General features: G+C 35.6%; 1 long non-coding RNA gene across 1 annotated transcript in view; it reads right to left on the reverse strand.

Moving 5' to 3' along the window:
* The window catches only part of LOC107986221 (uncharacterized), a 67141-nt gene that overhangs the window by 14788 nt on the left and 32060 nt on the right, over window positions 1-20293 (reverse strand). Inside the window, exon 2 of the long non-coding RNA XR_001741501.2 lies at window positions 10359-10606. This is a non-coding gene — a long non-coding RNA (uncharacterized LOC107986221). The remainder of the gene's footprint in view (window positions 1-10358; window positions 10607-20293) is intronic.

Raw genomic sequence — 20293 nt, forward strand, 5'->3', positions numbered from 1 at the left:
AAGGAAGTGTAGGGGAATTTATCTTAAACAGGCTTGTTTACTTATGTTGACTGGGAACCCAATCTTTGATCATCCATGCACATGAGGTTCCCTGAAAGGGGAACTATAAATGTTAATTACCCACAGATTGTGTTTGCTCCAGGCTTTTGGCATTCTGTCTGCTCTGAATAAAAGCAAGCAGCTTCAGCTTCTTGGGGTTGCTGCTGCACCTTGGCCACTAGAGCCCAGAAGCCCCCAGCTGCTCTTACACTGCATACCTGTGTCTGAGTACTCCTTTCATCCGTCACTCAGCTAGGGCCTGTGGGACTGACCGGGCAAGATTGGCCATTAGTAAAAAGTCAGAAATACCACATGCTGGTAAGGTTGTGGAGAAGGGGGAACGCTTATACATTGTCAGTTGGAATGTAAATTAGTTCAGACATTGTGGAAAGCAATTTGGAGATTTCTCAAAGAACTTAAAATGGAACTACCATTCGACCTAGCTATCCCACTTCTGGGTATATATGCAAAGGAATATAAATTATTCTACAGTAAAGACACATGCACACATATGTTCATTGCGGCACTATTTACAATAGCAAAGACATGAAATCAACCTAGATGCCCATTAGCAGTGGACTGAATAAAGAAAATGTGATGCATATACACAATGGAATAGTACACAGCCATGAAAATAATGAAATCATGCCCTCTGCAGCAACACAAGTGGAGTTGGAGGGCATTATCTATCCTAAGCGAATTAACATGGGAACAGAAAACCAAATACCGCACATTATCTATCCTAAGCGAATTAACATGGGAACAGAAAACCAAATACTGCATGTTCTCACTTATAAGTGGGAGTTAAACATTGGATACATGTGGACACAAAAACGGGAACAACAGACTCTGGGGTCTACTTGAGGGCAGAGGGTAGGAGAAGGGTGATAATTGAAAAACTACCTATTGGGTACTATGCTAATTACCTGGGTGACAAAATTATCTGTACACCAAACCCCTGGTCCACAATTTACCCGTGTAACACACCTACAAATGTACACACCTAACCTAAAATAAATTTTATTGCGGCATTATTCACAATAGCAAAGACTTGGAACCAACCCAAATGTCCAACAATGATAGACTGGATTAAGAAAATGTGGCACATATACACCATGGAATACTATATAGCCATAAAAAATGATGAGTTCATGTCCTTTGTAGGGACATGGATGAAATTGGAAATCATCATTCTCAGTAAACTATCGCAAGAACAAAAAAACCAAACACCGCATATTCTCACTCATAGGTGGGAATTGAACAATGAGAACACATGGACACAGGAAGGGGAACATCACACTCTGGGGACTGTTGTGGGGTGGGGGGAGGGGTGAGGGATAGCATTGGGAGATATACCTAATGCTAGATGATGAGTTAGTGGGTGCAGCCCACCAGCATGGCACATGTATACATATGTAACTAACTTGCACATTGTGCACATGTACCCTAAAACTTAAAGTATAAAAAAAAAGTTGGAAAGAAAAAAAATAGCTGTAGAAATTAATTTATGGCAGATATCCCAGATGAATAATGTCATGTGATCTCATGTCGTCTTTCTCAAATCCAAAATATATAAGTGACATAAACTTTTAAAATATGAGGGAAAACTCAATAATAAAGATTTCTAGAAAGCTATCTGTGTATTTGTTTATTATTGGCATTCGTAGTTCTAATTGGAAAAAACTTAGATTCATCTGCAACATACAAAATGCATTTCAACATAAGTATTTTTAGATAATGGGAACTAATGGTGTAATGCAAAATAAATAATAAAAACTACTCTTCAAGACTTAGTTCATTTGTAAGTAGTTGTTATGGAGCTGGTGTATATATTACCAGTTGGCTTAGAAGAATTTTTAGCCAGGTGAACTGGTTAATATTTATTAAGATCTCTGAGTGACCCTGGGTTTTTCTACCTCTAATCTCTTTTTTGTCCAGAAAATTTTAGCCATACTAGCCTTATTTTTTGAACACGTCAGACACTTTCCTTTCCAAGGCCTTTGAAACTTGCCATTCTTTCTAGAATATCTCTCCCCCAGAAATCCATAAGATTTGCTTCTCATCACCTTCCACTCATGACCCAAATGTCTTTTCATGGAGGCCTTCTTTGAATCCCTTATTCAAAATTAAATTTAAAATTTCACCCTGATCCAGAAACTTCTACCTAATTTTTTTCTTTTCTTTTTTTTTTTTAAATTTTTTTTATTATACTCTAAGTTTTAGGGTACATGTGCACATTGTGCAGGTTAGTTACATATGTATACATGTGCCATGCTGGTGTGCTGCACCCACTAAATGTGTCATCTAGCATTAGGTATATCTCCCAGTGCTATCCCTCCCCCCTCCCCCGACCCCACCACAGTCCCCAGAGTGTGATATTCCCCTTCCTGTGTCCATGTGATCTCATTGTTCAATTCCCACCTATGAGTGAGAATATGCGGTGTTTGGTTTTTTGTTCTTGCGATAGTTTACTGAGAATGATGGTTTCCAATTTCATCCGTGTCCCTACAAAGGATATGAACTCATCATTTTTTATGGCTGCATAGTATTCCATGGTGTATATGTGCCACATTTTCTTAATCCAGTCTATCATTGTTGGACATTTGGGTTGGTTCCAAGTCTTTGCTATTGTGAATAGTGCCGCAATAAACATACGTGTGCATGTGTCTTTATAGCAGCATGATTTATAGTCCTTTGGGTATATACCCAGTAAAGGGATGGCTGGGTCAAATGGTATTTCTAGTTCTAGATCCCTGAGGAATCGCCACACTGACTTCCACAATGGTTGAACTAGTTTACAGTCCCACCAACAGTGTAAAAGTGTTCCTATTTCTCCACATCCTCTCCAGCACCTGTTGTTTCCTGACTTTTTAATGATTGCCATTCTAACTGGTGTGAGATGATATCTCATAGTGGTTTTGATTTGCATTTCTCTTTTTTCTACTTCATTTTATTAGTTCTCATTACCATCTAACTTATTATATACATACCTATGTGTTTGCCTCTCTCTCTGCCAAATAATTCATGTTGAAAGTAGTGATTCTTTCCTATCCTGATTGTTAGATATCCACAGTGCCAACAAAAGTGTCTATTACATAGTAGGTCTTCAATTAATATGTATGAATGAATAAGAATATCCTTGAAATGCTCTCTTTTAGTTAATGGTTAGGTTATGCTCATATATGGGTCTGACCTTATGCAGGAATATCAGTACATTTCTCATGTAAACTTAAATTTTTCCTTCTTCCAGTTCATCATATCCCAAAATTTATAATTATTTTTACCCATATCTCTATTTGGGATTAGATAAAATTATATACTGTACTCTTAAAATCTCTATGAGAAAATTCAAACAGGACTTTTAATTGTATAGTTTTAAATTCATTTTGATTGTTCATATTGACTTATTTTTTTAAAGTATCAAAATACTACTTGTATAAAAAGGGATTTAAAAGTCATTCACATTTTTCCACAGAAAAGAAAATGTTTACATTTTGAGTCTTTCAGTCTTTCCCTTCATTTTTTACATTACAATATTCACATTACCCTGTTCTTAACAAACTCATTTAAACATAACAGGATATTTCACATCATATGAATGTAAAAATTTTACCAAATAATTTTCTTTCCTTCCACTGAGGTTATTTCCAATTAATTTTAACTAACATTAAAATAATTATGTTTGTAAAATCTTTGATAATATATTTAATACTATTTCATTTTGATACATTCCCAGAAGACTCCTAGTTCAAAAAACAACAACATTTTAAGGATTTTTTGTGTGTATTATCAATTTAATTTCCTGTGAGCTTTATACATCCTTCAGACATTAACGGAGTATGACTTTGACAACTAACACTGGATGCTCCTCTTAAACAAATGTTTTTTTTTAAATTAATGGGAAAATTCTACTTCATTATTATTATATTTACTTTTGAGATGGCACATTAATCAAAGTTTATTAGGTCTAAATGAACTGTATGAGTAAATGATCTACTTATTGGTATAATTTTTTTCATTTATCTATTAAGTGTTTATTATTGTCTGTCATTTTTCTATGATCTCTTTTTATATATGAAGGAAAGATCTTTAACATCTGTATTTGCACATACTTTATCCATATGATTGACTCTACATGAAACATTTTTATGGACAAAAAATTTTCATACATGTTTTGGTCATCAAGTTTTTCTTTTTCTGCTTTATATTCTGTAATATTTTAGGTCACCTCCACTCTTTAATGTAGTATATGAAAGCCTAGAGCATTGGACAGCCAGATGGAAAATGAAATAGTTATGATTTTACCATAGCAAAAACAGTCAGGTGCTTCATAGACACGGCTATTATTTGTTGACTTATTTCTAGCAAAGTTGGTCTAACTACCACTACAAATTTAGCCTTTGTTGTTAGATTACTTGAGCTAAAATCCCAAGTATTATAATAGCTACTCGTGTACCTGTGGGAAAATTTTCTTTGTTCGTTGCTGGTCTCATCTGTTAACAATAGGGATTGTTACAGGGTGTGTTGTGTTTCCACAGAAATCATATGTTGGAGTTCTAATTTCCAGCAGTACCTCAGAATGTGACTGAAATTGGAGACAGGTATTTAAAAAAATAGTTAAGGTTAAATGTGGTCTTAATCCAGCATGACTGACATCATTATAAGAAGAGGAGATTAGGACACAGGCACACAAAAAATAGACCATTTGTAGATACCAGAGGAAGAACATTATCTACAAACCAAGGAAAGAGACCTTAGAATGAAATAAGCTCTGCTGTCAATTTGATCTTAGACTCCTGGCCTACAGAACAGAGACAATGTTAATTTCTGTTGTTTAAGCCATTCAGTCTGTGGTTCTTTGTAATGGCATCCTTAGCACACTAGCACAGGGATCGTACTTATCTAACTCATATCCTTGTTATAATGACTCAAAAACTTATAGAAATAAATTTCATGGAATAACATTGGACAAATAGAACTCAATCTTGCCATTCATAATGAGGAACATTTTTATAGATTTAGAAATAAAAGGTCACAGCAGGCAGATACAAGGCGTAACAATAACTGTCAGATTACAGATGATTTACAACTATTTTGTTAATTATCATTATTTGTTTAAAATCAAATCCAGTATACTGTTCCACACAAGCAAATTTGCCAAAGATGGTAGATGGAAAAATAAAAACAGACTGTAAAAATCTTGTGATATTGAGGAATTTTCTGCATTAGTTTTTTTTAATTTATTTCCAGAATATATGTAAGAAACAATGTTTAATATATTCTTTGAAAGATCCAGCTGAATGACATATAAAAAGAAATAGCTATATAGGGAGAAATCTGGGTTATCGTCCAAAGCATTGTATTTACCTATCATTACTACACCACTAATGGCAACAATTACTAAGTAATTTCTACTCACTTATTGACTTTTCCCACTGTTAGACACCATGCTAATTACTTTAGAAACAATGCCTTATTTAAGCTTTATAAAAAGTGAATGAAGTATGTACTAGTAGTGTTTTTATTTTACAGATGAGGAAAGGTATTTAAAGAGGTTCAAGAACCTGGTGGAGTTTCCACAGGAAGAACTTGGGAGAGCAAGGATGCGGGTCCTGCTGTACCTGAGTCTAAAGAGTCACTGGAGTATACTGTGAACATATTCCCTGAATTGGGTGTTGTCCTTTGTGGGCCACCACTGTAAATAGGAAAATTTGAATACTACAATGTAACCCTTTTCAATTTTAAATTGATATGATGCAATTGCTTCAAATTTTAATATTTTTATAATTATACAGGGGCTTTAAAATAGTTTCTAAATTGCATGTTGAAGAAAGTAACTCTCTAGAATTTAAAGAATTGATGACAGACCATGTTAATGGTAAATATGTCTTACTTTTTTTTACTGGCAGGAAATTATCACCCATAAATCCATGGAAGAACTTATATATATTTATGGCTATCAGCAGATATATTTATTTTTCTCATATGGGGCACCAAAAGACTGATAAATATAGAATTTAATAAAACAGGCACAAATGCTGACCTTTTGGTGATTTAAGTCTCTCAGAATCTTTGCATGTTTTACTCTGACGTAAACAGATGAAAATACAGAAGTAAAGACGTATTTGTAAAGTAACTTTCTTATGATTTATTTAAAATAACCTTAATGCAAGGGAAAACTATCAGCAAACTTGACTTTAGCTCTTACAAAATCATTAGCTGAGGTTTCTAGAAAAAAACTATGGACAATTAAAAGGATCTTAAAAAAATACTCTTAGACCATCAGATTCCAAGAATGAAAAAAGAAAAAAATAGATTCTTAAATCACAAATCTCTTAGCCCTGCATCTCCCAATAAAAATGATTTTTCTATTTCTTATTGTTAATCTTTCAACCTACTGTTCAAAACAAAAATTATTCTTTCATCTTGGCATGAATCTGTCAAAGGCACTGCTTCCAACAAAATTGACTTCTCTAATTTATGTTTCTTTCCCTGAATCTCTCAAGCCCGTGTTCTCAATTAAAAAAAAAATAAAAAATCTTATTCTGTACTTCTGAGATCTTTGGGTCACATGAAAATTGCATTTTCATTTTGGTTAACGTGTTCCAATTTTCAAAATAAATATATATTTTTTGAAAAATAGAAAAAAGTGTTTTTAATAGACTGAATACATGATCATTTTAAATAATATAAAATACTTATTGTTGAAACATATACAAACATTTGAAGTCATAAAATAGGTTGTAATATTGTTGTTTGCTTTATAAGTATATATTCCATAAAGATTATTTTTCATTTTAACAAGATATAGACATGTTACATATTATCTATAACATGTCTTCACTTCACATTTTTCTTTCTTTTGGGAAGGGAGAGTCTCCAGTTTCAGGGAAGAAGGGATGATTTTTTTCTTTTAACTGAATCCTGAGTGGCAGACACTATCTGGCACAATATATCCATCCAGTTTATCATTTTTGTTTGAATACATTGAATCAAAAAATACAGTTTTAAATTTCTATATAGTTTATTTGCTTACGTATCTTATGATACACTTTAAATCAATCATCTAGAAAACATTTAATTGTGTAACTATGTATAGCTATGTTAAAAAACAGTATAGCGTTTAGAACCAAAATACCTAGATTGGCGATGACTTAAGGAATATGTCTCAGCAGAGTTGGCAGTGGAAATATATTTTTTATTTAACAGATGTCATAGCCTCCTCACTCTCAAAAGTAACAAGTGTTTGACTAGTTCTTATACTGAAGTAAAATTGTTCTCATATGAACAATGTGATATATCCTATTTACAGTCGTTCCCCCTGCTTATCTGTGATTTTGCTTTTCATGGGTTTAGTTACTTGTCAACTGTGGTCTGACAATAATAAATGGAAAATTCCAGAAACAAACAATTTACAAGTTTTAAATTGCTTGCTGTTCTGAGTATCATGATAAAATCTTATACCATCCTGTTCTATTCGGCCCATGATGTATATCCTTCCTTTGTGCACCATATTCACAGTATAGACCCTACCCACCTGTGAGTCACTTCGTAGCACTTTCGGTTATCAGACTGACAAATGCTTGTGTTCAAGTAACCCTTGGTTTGCTTATAATGGCCCCAAAGCATAAGAGTAGTTATACTGCCAAACTGTAATAATTGTTCTATTTTATTATTATATATTGTTGTTAATCTCTTGCTCTGCCTGATTTATACATTAAAATTTCTCATTAATTACTATTTGTGGTTTCAGGCATCCAATGGAGATCTCGAAACATCACCCTCACAAATTTGGGGAGACTACTGCATTTCAACATAATGAAAAAAAAAAGGGAGAAAAAATCAAATTGGTTCATTGAATACTCTCATAACAACCATGACAATTATCATATTAAGACTTATGAGGTACACTTACCTGCAGGCGTATCCAGAAATATTTTGGAAATTCAATACAATATAAAATTTTTACATGCATGTTTCTATCCTTTCAGGACCAGGGCTTATATCAGAGAGAGAAAGATAATGGTAAATGTTCCATTTATTCTAGGAGGGCCAATTATGAATTGGCAGAGACAATTAGAACCCAATCATTAGACAATATTGTTGTCACCAAGAGGTAGAAATTAATGAACAATGTATACAATACAGCACATATTACATTACCTGAATTTACACTAATCATGACTATATCAGCAGCATTAAACCAATGCAGATTACACATTATAGTATTTCCATAAGATGAATAAAAATGATATAAAATAGAAAGGAAAACTATTCCTATAATAAATGCTTCTTTTTTGAAAAAAATATTTTAGATTTGAGGGTACATGTGCAGTTTTGTTACATGGGTATATTGCATAATGCTGGGGTTTGGGCTTCTATTGAACCCATCACATGAATAATGAACACAGAACTCAATAGGTAGTACCCAAAAGATACAACCCAATAGATAGTACCTGGTAGGTAGCACCCAATACATAGTACCCTTGTCCCCTCCTCTCCTTCCTCACATTTGTAGTTCCCAGTGTTTATTGTTTCCTCCTTTATGTCCGTATGTACTGTTTAGCTCCCACTTATAAGTGAGAACATGTGGTATTTGATTTTCTAGAGAAATCCTTTTTCAATCTCAGATAAAAACACAGAAAACTTGCAGCATTTTTAACAAAAATTTAATGTAAAAGAATATAGATATCATTTATTTTTCTGTTTTGATTTGATGTATACATACACACTTACATATATATACATGTGTGCATATATAAAGACAGAGAGAGAAATATTGAATATACTGATATATAAATATATATGAGTATATAGAGAGACCTTCACACACACGGAGAGAGAGAAAAAGAGAGAGTAAGAGAGAAAGTGATTCAATATTTAATTATTATCTGCAACCACTTATGCCCACTGATATATCTATGTTTGGTAGTTCCTATTCATTCAAGATGTTTGGTGTGGATGAAATGAGGTGCTCCATAGGACATCACTTTGTCAGATGTAGATAAAACAGAGTTTTACACCTATACTATTTTGTAAAACGAGTTTTACACCTATACTATTTTGAAATATGTCCTTAAAGCAAATAAGCCGTAGGGGAAAGTGAGTGCAATATTTAGGCACCAACCATCAGGCTTACTACACTTACCTTTCAGGGACTACTTTAAACTCTCTCTGAAATTTTGGGTTTTTTTCTTTGTAAAAACGTTATTTTGCAGAAAAAAAAAACCATAAAATTTCAGCGTTACTTATTCATCAAATTCAGAATATTTATACATGGTGTTTTGTTTTTTTCATCATTATGTGCACTAACATCTTGGACAGTACTGAGCACATAGTAGAAATTAAATGCTGTTTGATGAATGAATAAAAAATACATTTGGTTATGTACTTTTGCTGATTTCCAAATATCTTATTATCAAAACAATTTTTTGGATTATTGAAAATGAGGATACTTATTAACATAGTCTGATATATAAGAAAAAAAATACTGAAAATGTTTTATTATTGTTTAAATTCACACACACAATAATATATTATATATGTATGTGAAGAACCTTGGAGTGAAAAATTACCTAAAGATAATTGAACCCTGTCGTTAGTATGAGGCCTGTCTTTCCTAAGACAGTCAGCTGCAGCTGTGTTTTACTGCAGTGAGGTTAAAAATAGGTGCTATTATTGGATGAAATAATGTTTAAGGAGAATTCACTGCAGAAGCCTTTGCAAGGCATATAATAACTGTTTTCTTTCAATGGCATTTTTGTTTTTACTGTGATTACTATTGGATTAATACCTCCTCTCCCAAATACATTATGCTGATTACATATTAAGATTGAATTTATTAAACAATATCTTGACAATACGAGTATTAATAAGCATAATGCATAGACCGAGTCTGATCAATTTGTTTAAATAAGTAGGAGACATTCTATTCTAAACAGGAGGTTTAATTTGCTGATTTACGTAATGAGTTGTTTTTTTTCATGGATTTCACAATTCTGCATGTCTTGCATCAGCTTTTGTCCTTAAATATCTTTTTAAGGATGCTTATGTAACATCAGTCATGGAAGATTGAGCTAGTACAATTGACTCTTGAAGAATGCAGGGGCTAGGGGCACTGACTCCTCATGCAATTGACTATCCAGGTATAACTTTTGACTGTCTCAAAATATAAATATCACTATTGACCAGGAGTCTTTCCTTTAATATAAATAATTAATACATATTTTATGTTATATTCACTATATTATTATCATAAAGCAAGCTAGAAAAGAGAAAATGTTTTTAAGAAAATAATAACAAAAAGAAAACATATTTACCTTTCATTAAATAGAAGTTGATCATTGTAAAGATCTTCATCCTTTTCTTCACATTGAATGGGCTGAAGAGGAGGAAAAAGTGGAGGGGTTGTTCTTGCTGTCACAGGGTTGGCAGAGGCAGAAGAGGTGGAGGAGGTGGAAGAGGAGGCAGGAGAGGCAGACAGACACGGTGTAATTTTCCTGAAAAAATCCACTTGTAACTGGGCCATAGTTCAAAATGTGTGTTCTTCAAGGGTCAACTGTGTTTCCTATGAAGGAAGAAAACAGGGGCCACATTAGATTGTGCTCCACAATAGAAAAGGTAATGTCTCTCTTCAGGTCAAAGGTTTGTTATGTTGCTGGTAGCCCCTTTAAAAGATCTGGGCTTCCTAAGCTCAGGGATCCTCAACTGAGAAGCAAATCTACCAGGTGTTCACCCTCCATCTGGACCGCTTCAGACTAATCAGACTTGGGGAAACAGAGGGTACTGACATCAACATGAAATTCATCCAACCTACTGTGTACAGAAGTCTCATCTCTTCTGTAAGCATCCACGAAACTGTATCAGGTTACTTGTTAGCTTTTCAGAAGGATAGATACATTTTGATAGCTTTCAGAGTTCTTGAAAATATAATGCCCATATTGAATATTTTTTAAAGTTACTTGTGACATTATAACTGCATTTAATCTAATTTACCATAATATTTGTGTAATTATTTGTGATTCGTTTATTCACAGAGTTTGAAAAAATAAATAAAATTTTTGCAAACTGATAGTCAACATTTAAGAGCATCCATAAAATATGCAACTTTGTGAAATTGGAATCTGATTACATTTAATTCACATTAACAATGATATTTATAATGTTATTACAAAGTAAATTCTATTGCATTATCTCATATTTTCTTCTGACAACCATGTATTGCATGACTGAAAGTGGTGATATATTTTGGGGGAAGTTTGGTGAAAGTAAATGTTAAACCTAAGGGTAGATTATCAGCTTTCTGATTCCTAAAATGTTACATATTCCACTGATACCTTTTAGTATATGTAATAAAAATATTTTCTTCTCAGCCTGGAGTTATTAAATTTAAGCCTACAGAATTTTCAAAAAACTGAAAGTAAAAGTTATCTGTGAGAAATATAGTTTCTCTTCAACACTGGCATGTTGAAAGAATCTTTGAGGGAATTTCTGTATGACTCATCTACAAAAAACCACCTATATCTCAAAGAAAAGTACAGTAATAATATAATAAAAGTGATGGTCGTACTTAAAATATGAAGCTTTATATCATCCTTTTCTGTAGTTAATATTGTGTTGTAATTCACCTAACACTAAATATTTTTTAAAAATTTTAGTAGCCACAAAATATATGAAAAAATCACTTTACAATGAAAAATTAAACACTATAACTCATACTTAAATTGCTAAAATTTGTTTATAAAAAGTTATTTTTATTTTAGACAATTTAATGATTTAATCATTTACTTCTCCAATAAAACATAGAAAAATATCTGTTTTATTATTTTGTACACCCCAAAATAGATCAATTTAATAATTGTATGTTATTTGTATTTTATTTAGACAAAGATTGTGAAGCTATATCCTAATTTCAACATTTTATTTATATATTTTATTAAATCTTTGAAATCATGGTGATCAAAATCACATTACCAACTGGTATGAGACCACCATATTTTATTATTACATTTATTGGCACTTTTAGTTGGGATAGGATGCCATCATACAATTTGAATGAAAATTCCACATCAAAGATTTACAATTTAAGAAACATTATTTCTTAAATTTTTTTTAAAAAATCACCTACAATAAAACTTTTAGCAGTTATAAAAAAATCATGATCATAAGTTGAAATGCTAACACAAAAACTACTTGGGTATTTTTGGTGTACTTAATGAAGGACAAATAGAAAGTAAACCTTATGGTGAGAGAAATAACCCAAAATATACCAGCAAGAACATAAATACAAATTAATAAAATTATCCTGTTAAAAGACAAAAGTTTTCAAATTGAATGAAATATCTAGCTATATGTTTTTTTTAATTAAGAAAATGTTACAGGATTTTGGAGTGTTGCTTGGCCAGCTGGAAGCCTCCGTGACACACGGCACCTTCTGCCTGAGTATTGCTCATGCTTGCTGGGCTCATCCCACCCACTCAGCTGAGCAAGCTGCCTTCGGTTTGCGCTATTGGCCCAGATCCCACACCTGCTAAGGTCAAGCCAGGCATGGAACGGTGAGGGGTGCATGGGCAGTAAGCATGGGTTCTGGCCACTGTGCACAGACAGGCATGCCTACTGCACGTGGCTGTGGGCACCCCCTTCTGGGTGAGGGGAAGGTGGTGGCACCCAGAATCTTGGAGATGCCAGGAACCACAGAGTCCCAAAGAGGTTGTCACAGCCCCTGCTTAGGGAGTCTGCAAATCTAAGCTCCCAGAAGGGCTGCAGCTAATCTCTCCTTCTCGTCACCCACAACATGGCCAGTGGTGTGGGGGGAGTGTTTCAGCTCTGTTTGTGTTATACCTCTTTCAGTCCTGCCATTTGGTAGGTCCAAGTTCTTGTCTCATGTCCAGGAAGAATGAGGTACAGGACAACTTGTGTGTGAGCAAGGTGGAGAGAAGCTTCATTAAGTGACAGGACAGCTTTCAGGAGACCCAAAATGAGTAGCTCCTTTCTGCAGGCAGGTCATCCTGAAGAGTCCAAGAGACCGGAGGCAGGTAGCCCCTTCACACAGCTGGTAGCTCCAACATCTGTTCAAGTCTGGTTGAGTCTTGGACTTTTATTGGCTACAAAAGGAGGAACTTTGTTCTGATTGGTCCATGGGCAGCCAGGATTGGGCTTGGAAAAAGAACCATAAGTTTTCACTCCAGGCTTGCAGACTCCACCCAAAACTGGCAGCCCCAGGCTTCAGGCTGTCCCTGGCTTGAAGGTGGAGTTTCAGTGGGGACCTACCTCTTTACACCCAGGAGTCTCTCTTCCACCTGCTGCCATCAACATGTCATTCGTGACACCCAGGCTGTTCCTGCCAAAGGGTGCCTGCAGGCTCATCCCAAACTGCCCTCAGTGCCCCCTTGACCTCCCTCTCATGATCATTGGTGCCCAAAGTCTGTAGGGGGCCAAAGCAGCAGGGGGATGACGTGTCAGCATCACCCTGCTGACACTTACACCCGGCTGGGTTGCAACAGCACCCAGGTTTGGCCACAACTTTGTTATGCCTCGGAGTGGGCACCAGGAGTAGGAACAGGCCAAGGAGTGGAAGTAGGCATTTTCAAGCCTGTGAAGGCAAGGCACTTCCCAGGCCCCAAAGAACGCAGACATGCCAGGGGCCAGAGCCATGGCTGGGCAGCTGCAGCTGCATCTAGGAGCACGGGCTCCTGCCACGCTAACTTGGTAGTGGGAAGGTCTTCTGCCGGGTCCATGGAGCACACAGCCTGGCCATGTCTCCCCTGCTGCAGCTGGTTTCCCCACAGCGTCTGCACCAGATAAGCTTCCACCACCATCAGAAACACCTAAATCCTAGATAACAAAAAGCTTTAAAATAGCTGTAATAATTACTTGGGGATGTTTGGTACAGTTAAAGAAGGGCAAATAGAAAGTAACCATTATGGTGGAGAAATAACCCTAAATATACCAGTAAGAATGTAAATACAAATGGATAAAATGATCCTGCTAAAAGAAACACATTTTCAAATTGAATGAAATATTTAATGATTTTTTTAAATGAAAGAAACACCTAAAGTAGGATCAAAATATATAAAAACAGATACAGGTCTACTAACATCAGGAACCATATATTTATTAAAAATATGATTAGAACAAAAGATCAGCCCTTATGTAATAACACAACAGCAACATTTTCCCCAAAATACATTTTTAGTTCTTAGCTAAATATTGGGAACTAATTACTAATGTCATTTCAAACAGAAATTGGCAAAATCCTCAGTGATACTCTGGGATTTTCACCCACCATCAACTTTTCTTGGTGATTTATATTGTGAAATTTTGCTGGGGGGTGATAGTGGCTAGACAATTCAATGTATGTGTTTACTGAATTGTGAATCTTTGTTACAAGATTCTCATTCAGACTGCATTGAGCAAGTTCTTCTCGTCTAAAGAAAACTGCTAAGAAATCTAGTTGTTGAGGAAAAATAGTACAAATAAAAGACAAATAGAACACATATAAAAAGCTTGGTGTAATGCATGCATATTGAATCTTACATCCAACCATTGTAAATATTCATTCTCTTTAAGATACAGAGGAGTACAGTATTTACAAAACTAGACAGCTTATCTGGTCATTGCCAGGCATGGTGGCTCATGCCTGCAATCTCAGCACATTGGGAGGCTGAGCCAGGTGGATTGCTTTACCCCCAGGAATTCAAGACCAGCCTGGGCACCATAGAAAAACCCATCTCTACAAAGAGTAAAAAATTTAGCTGGTCATGGTAGTCTGTGCCTGTAGTCCCAGCTACTTGGGAGGCTGAGGGAAGAGGATCACTTAAGCTCAGGAGGTTGAAGCTGCAGTGAGCAGTGATTATGCCACAACACTACAGCCTGGGCAGCAGAGAGAGACCATGTCTCAAAAAAAAATGATGATGATAATAATAATAATAATATCTGGTCATAATACAAATATCAATGCTTGTGCAGAAATATGGGGCATAAAGAATAATTAATTTTGACTACATTTACCTTCTCTTGCATGCTACAATCAAATTAGACATATATAGAAACCATAACCGTATATTTGGAAATTAAAAGAATATAACATGGAGATAGTCCATGCATCAATAAATAGTCTTATTTGAAATTAGAAAATACATATACTCTATAGTCATCATAATACGATATTTCAAAATATATAAAATGCATTTAAAACCAAGGGGAAAATAAATCTTCACATGCTGATATTTGAAAAGAAAGTCTGAAAATGAGTAATGTAATTATCCAACTTGAAAGTTATTAAAATAAAATAAATTTAATTCAAGTAACTGTAAGGAAAGAGCAATACTAACCTCAGAATAAAATGAAACTTTAACCAATTTTAGAGGGTGATAGGATCAAAATTACTTGCTATATTCTGAATGTTTGTGTTGTCTAAAATTTATAAATAGAGATCCTAACCCCCAAGGTGATGGTATTAAGAAGTGGGAGTCGTTGAGAGGTGAATGCTACTAATGTCCAATAAAAAAGACCCTAGGGAGCTTGTTTGCCCCTTCTACCATGTGAGGACAGAGCTGGAAGGCACTATCTGTGAAGAAGTGGGCACTCACCAGATAACAATGAAATATTGATTTTGGAACTTCCAGCCTGTAAAAATAAATGCTTGTGTTTGTAAGCTACCTGGACTATGGTATTTTGTTACAGGAACCTGAACTAAGCATTTTATCAGAAAAGTGCATATATATATAATCTGGCAATATAGGCTTTCAACAAGAGTGATCAAGAAGAGAGGAGAGATGGTGAGAAGGACAGAGAAAGGGATCACAAACAATATTCAACATAAAAAGGAGGCATAATTACATATGCAGAAATAATATAAAAATAAATGAATATTGTAACTTTATGCCAATTAATTCAAACCTTCCAAAAACTAAAACAAGCATAGTAAACCTGTATAATAAAAATTAACATAATCATTAAAGAAATGGAATTTACCCACAAGATACAAAACTAAATAAAACATGAGTTGCAGCTATTTTTACCAGTAATAGCTACTAACTACCAACAAATTAATTTTTTTACCAGTAGTTTCTACCAACAATCTAAGATTGGATTACATGTAAAGTTTTACAGCTACTAGAGAGGTATTGGTAAGTAACTCATTTTAGCAAGCCATCATAACCTTGTTACCTGTGATAAGCAGAATTCTAAAATGATATTCCAAGATTTTTATCCCTGATTGTATTAGTCTATTTTCACACTGCTGATAAAGACATACCCAAGACTGGGCAATTTACAAAAGAAAGAGGTTTAATGATCATACAGTTCCACATGGCTGGGAAGGCCTCACAATCATGGTGTAAGGGAAATAGGAGCAAGTCACATCTTACATGGGTAATAGCAAGCAAAAAGGCAGCTTGTGCATGGAAACTCTCATTTTTAAAACTGTCATATCTGGTGAGACTCATTCACTATTATGAGAGCAGCACAGGAAAGGCCCGCCCCCATAATTCAGCAATTACCTCCCTTCAGGTTCCTCCCACAACATGTGGGAATTTTGGAGTTTCAATTGGAGATGAGATTTGGGTGGGGACACAGGCAAACCATATAATTCAGCCCCTGGTCTCCCCTAAATCTCATGTCTTCACATTTCAAAACCATTCATGCCTTCCCAGCAGTCCCCCAAAGTCTTAACTAATTTCAGCATTAACTCAAAAGTCCACAGTCCAATGTCTCATTTGAGACAAGGCAAGCCCCTTCTGCCTATGAGCCTGTAAAATTAAAAGGAACTTAGTTACTTCCTAGATACAATGTGGGTACAGGCATTAGGCAAATACAGCTGTTCCAAATGGGAGAAATAGGCCAAAACAAAGCAGCTACAGGCCCCATGCAAGTTTGAAATCCAACTGGGTAATCAAATCTTTGAGCTCAAAAATTATATTTTTTGACTCCATGTCTTGCATCCAAGTCATGCTGATGCAAGAAGAGGGTTCCCACGGTTTTGGGAAGCTGCACCCTCATGGCTTTGCGAGTACTGCCTCCCTCCTGGCTGCTTTCATGGGCTGGTGTTGAGTGTCTGTGGCTTTTCCAGGTATACAGTGTAAGCTCTCGCTGAATCTACCATTCTGGGGTCTGAAGGACGGTGGCCTTCTTCTCACAGCTTCACTAGGCAGTGCCCGAGTAGGGACTCTGTGTGGGGCTTCCACCCCACATTTTCCTTCTGCCCTGCCCTAGCAGAGGTTCTCCATGAGGGCCTTGTCACTGCAGCAAACTTCTGCCTGGATATTCAGGCATTTCCGTATAAATCTGAAACCTAGGCAGAGGTTTCCAAACTTCAATTCTTGACTTCTGTGCATCCGCAGGCTCAACACCACATGGAAGCTGTCAAAGCTTGGGTCTTCCACCCTCTGAAGCAACAATAGAGCTGTACCTTGGCCCCTTTGAGCCATGGCTGGAGTGGCTAAAACAGAGGGCACCAAGTCCCTAGGCTGCACAGAACAGGGGGGCCCTGGACTCAGTCCAGGAAACTATAGTTTCCTCCTTGGCCTCTGGGCCTGTGATGGAAGCTTGAATTTCTCCTCAGAAAATGTGTTTTTTTTTTTTTTTCTATCACATTATCAGGCTGCAAATTTCCCAAACTTTAATGCTTTGCTTCCCTTATAAAATGGAATGCCTTTAGCAGCACCCAAGTCACATGTTAAATGCTTTGCTGCTTAGAAATTTCTTCTGCCAGATACCCTAAATCATTTCTCTCAAGTTCAAATTTCCAGGCCTCTCTAGGGAGGGGGCAAAATGCCTCCAGTCTCTTTGCTGAAACACTAAGAGTCACCTTTGCTCCAGTTCCCAAGTTCCTCATCTCCATCTCAGACGACATAAGCCGGGACCTTATTGTTCATATCTCTATCAGCATTTTTTTCCAAGCCATTCAACAAGTCTCTAGGAAGTTCCAAACTTTCCCACATTTTCCTGTCTTCTTCTGAGCCCTTCAAACTGTTCCAACCTCTGCCTGTTACCCAGTTCCAAAGTCGATTCCACTTTTCAGGTATCTTTTCAGCAGCACCCCACTCTACTGGTACCAATTTATTGTATTAGTCTGTTTTCATGTTGTGGAATACCCAAGGCTGGGTAATTTACAAAAGAAAGAGGTTTAATGGACTTACAGTTCGACATGGTTGGGGAGGCCTCACAATCATGGCAGAAGGCAGAAAGGAACAAGTCACATCTTACGTGGATCGTGGCAGGTAAAGAGAGAGCCTGTGCAGGGAAACTCCCATTTTTGAAATCATCAGATCTCCTGAGATTCATTCACTATCACAAGAACAGCTCAGGAAAGGCCCACCCTCATAATTCAACAATCACTTTCCACCAGGTTCCTCCCCAGACATTTGGGAATTGTGGGAGTTACAATTCAAGATGAGATTTGGGTGGGGACACAGCCAAATCATATCACCGATATTCAATCTAAGTGCTGTGAAGAGATTTTTGCAAATGTAAAGTTCTAAATCAACTGTCTTTGAGATACCAAGATAGTATCCACTGGTCTAAACTTATCACACAGAGTCCAGAGATTTGAAGCACTAGAAGAATTTCAAATACCACTGTTGGCTCAAAAATGCAGAGCACTACATGATGAAGAATGCAGACTATGTCTAGAAGTCAAGAACAACCCCCTAAGCCGACAGCCACCAAGGAAATGTGGACTTCAATTTTCCAACCACATGGAACTGAATTCAGCCAACAACCTTAATGATCTCAAAAACACTTCTGCCCTAAAGCCTTCAGATGAGAGCTCAGCCCCTAAACCTTGATTTTCACATTGAAAGACCCTTAGCAGAGAATCCAATTAACCCTCCCAGACTTGTGATCTACCAAATGGTAGCATAATAAATGGGTGTTTAGTTGCTAAATTTCTGCACATTTGTCATGTAGCAGTAGAGAACTGATTCAATACCAAACCAGATAAAGTTAGTTGAAATTGTAAAAATATAGTTCAATATCACTTATAAATCTACATGCAAAAATCCTAAATAAACCATAGCACACTTAACTTTTACTAAGAAATTAATAAGAATTTATGGCCCAAATATTTATCACTAGAGTACAAGTATCACATTAAATATTAAATTCCCTTTGTAAAGATTCATATGTGTAGGAATATAAAAGAAAATAAAGGGAAGCAAGGAAAGTATGTGTCCTTTGGGGTATTGCTACATGTATTTGGTACTCTTTGTGTTTTAGGACATCTATTTTGGAAACTATTTTGTCGAGTGGAGTTCGCCTCAAGAATAAGATGAGGAACTGATAAAATCTGTTTCCAACTTGTCTATTGGTTTCAATATCAAGGTGACATTTTCAGACAATTTCTCTTTTAATTTTATTCCTCCTAGAAAACCATTTTTCCATTTTGTACTAAACATGGTCATCTTACTTTTAGTCTGTTCCACGTTGGGTCGTATATTTTACATACTTTGAAGTGCAAATTTTTTAAGTCTAAATTGTGTTCCTTTATTGCTGAATCAGAATTACTTACTACACTTTTGTGTTTTTATAATATACTGTTTTCCTCTACTACTTCTTTTATAAAATCTGCCCCATTGAGCTGGCATTATTATTTGGCTCCACCGCTAGATTGAAAGCTCTTTCAGGAGAGACTATGCATTATTCATGTTTTCATTCTGCAGAAACTTTCATAGCATATAGCTAATATTAAGTACCTGATGATGTTTATTAATTGAAAAGGACTATTGTTAATTGCCTCTTGGAATAGTAATGAAACTTGTAAATAAATATATGTCAGTGCCTATCAAAGATATCACTCAATTTTGGGGTATCATTATTATAGTTAACATTGGATACTATATCCCTAAAATCTCACTCTCTGTATTTCCATAGCATGAGAGAAGCTCTGTGTAGATATTAAACATGAAGTAGAATGAAAATACAACTATAAATTACTGAAAGGCCTGTTTTACTTGGTGAATACAACAGAACTTGGACTGGATTTTAGACATTTTCTGCCCATTTTACAAGAGCAGTCTTGGTGACTCCCACAGATTTTAGCACAATATCACACAGAGAAAATTACATCATTTCTACAAAAATCTGGATAACTGGACAAGCCTCCTGAGTCATGATATGGCCATCCCAGGCATCCTCTGGAGGATGAAAGCATTTCCTAATCTCTCTAATATCTTAATGGACATGTAAACCACTCCCAAAATATAAATGCTCCTAGGTTATGAAACTCTAATTCAAACTTGTCAAATATAATTTT

This window comes from Homo sapiens, chromosome 4 (assembly GCF_000001405.40).
Source record: "Homo sapiens chromosome 4, GRCh38.p14 Primary Assembly".
Classification (NCBI taxonomy): Eukaryota; Metazoa; Chordata; class Mammalia; order Primates; family Hominidae; genus Homo; species Homo sapiens.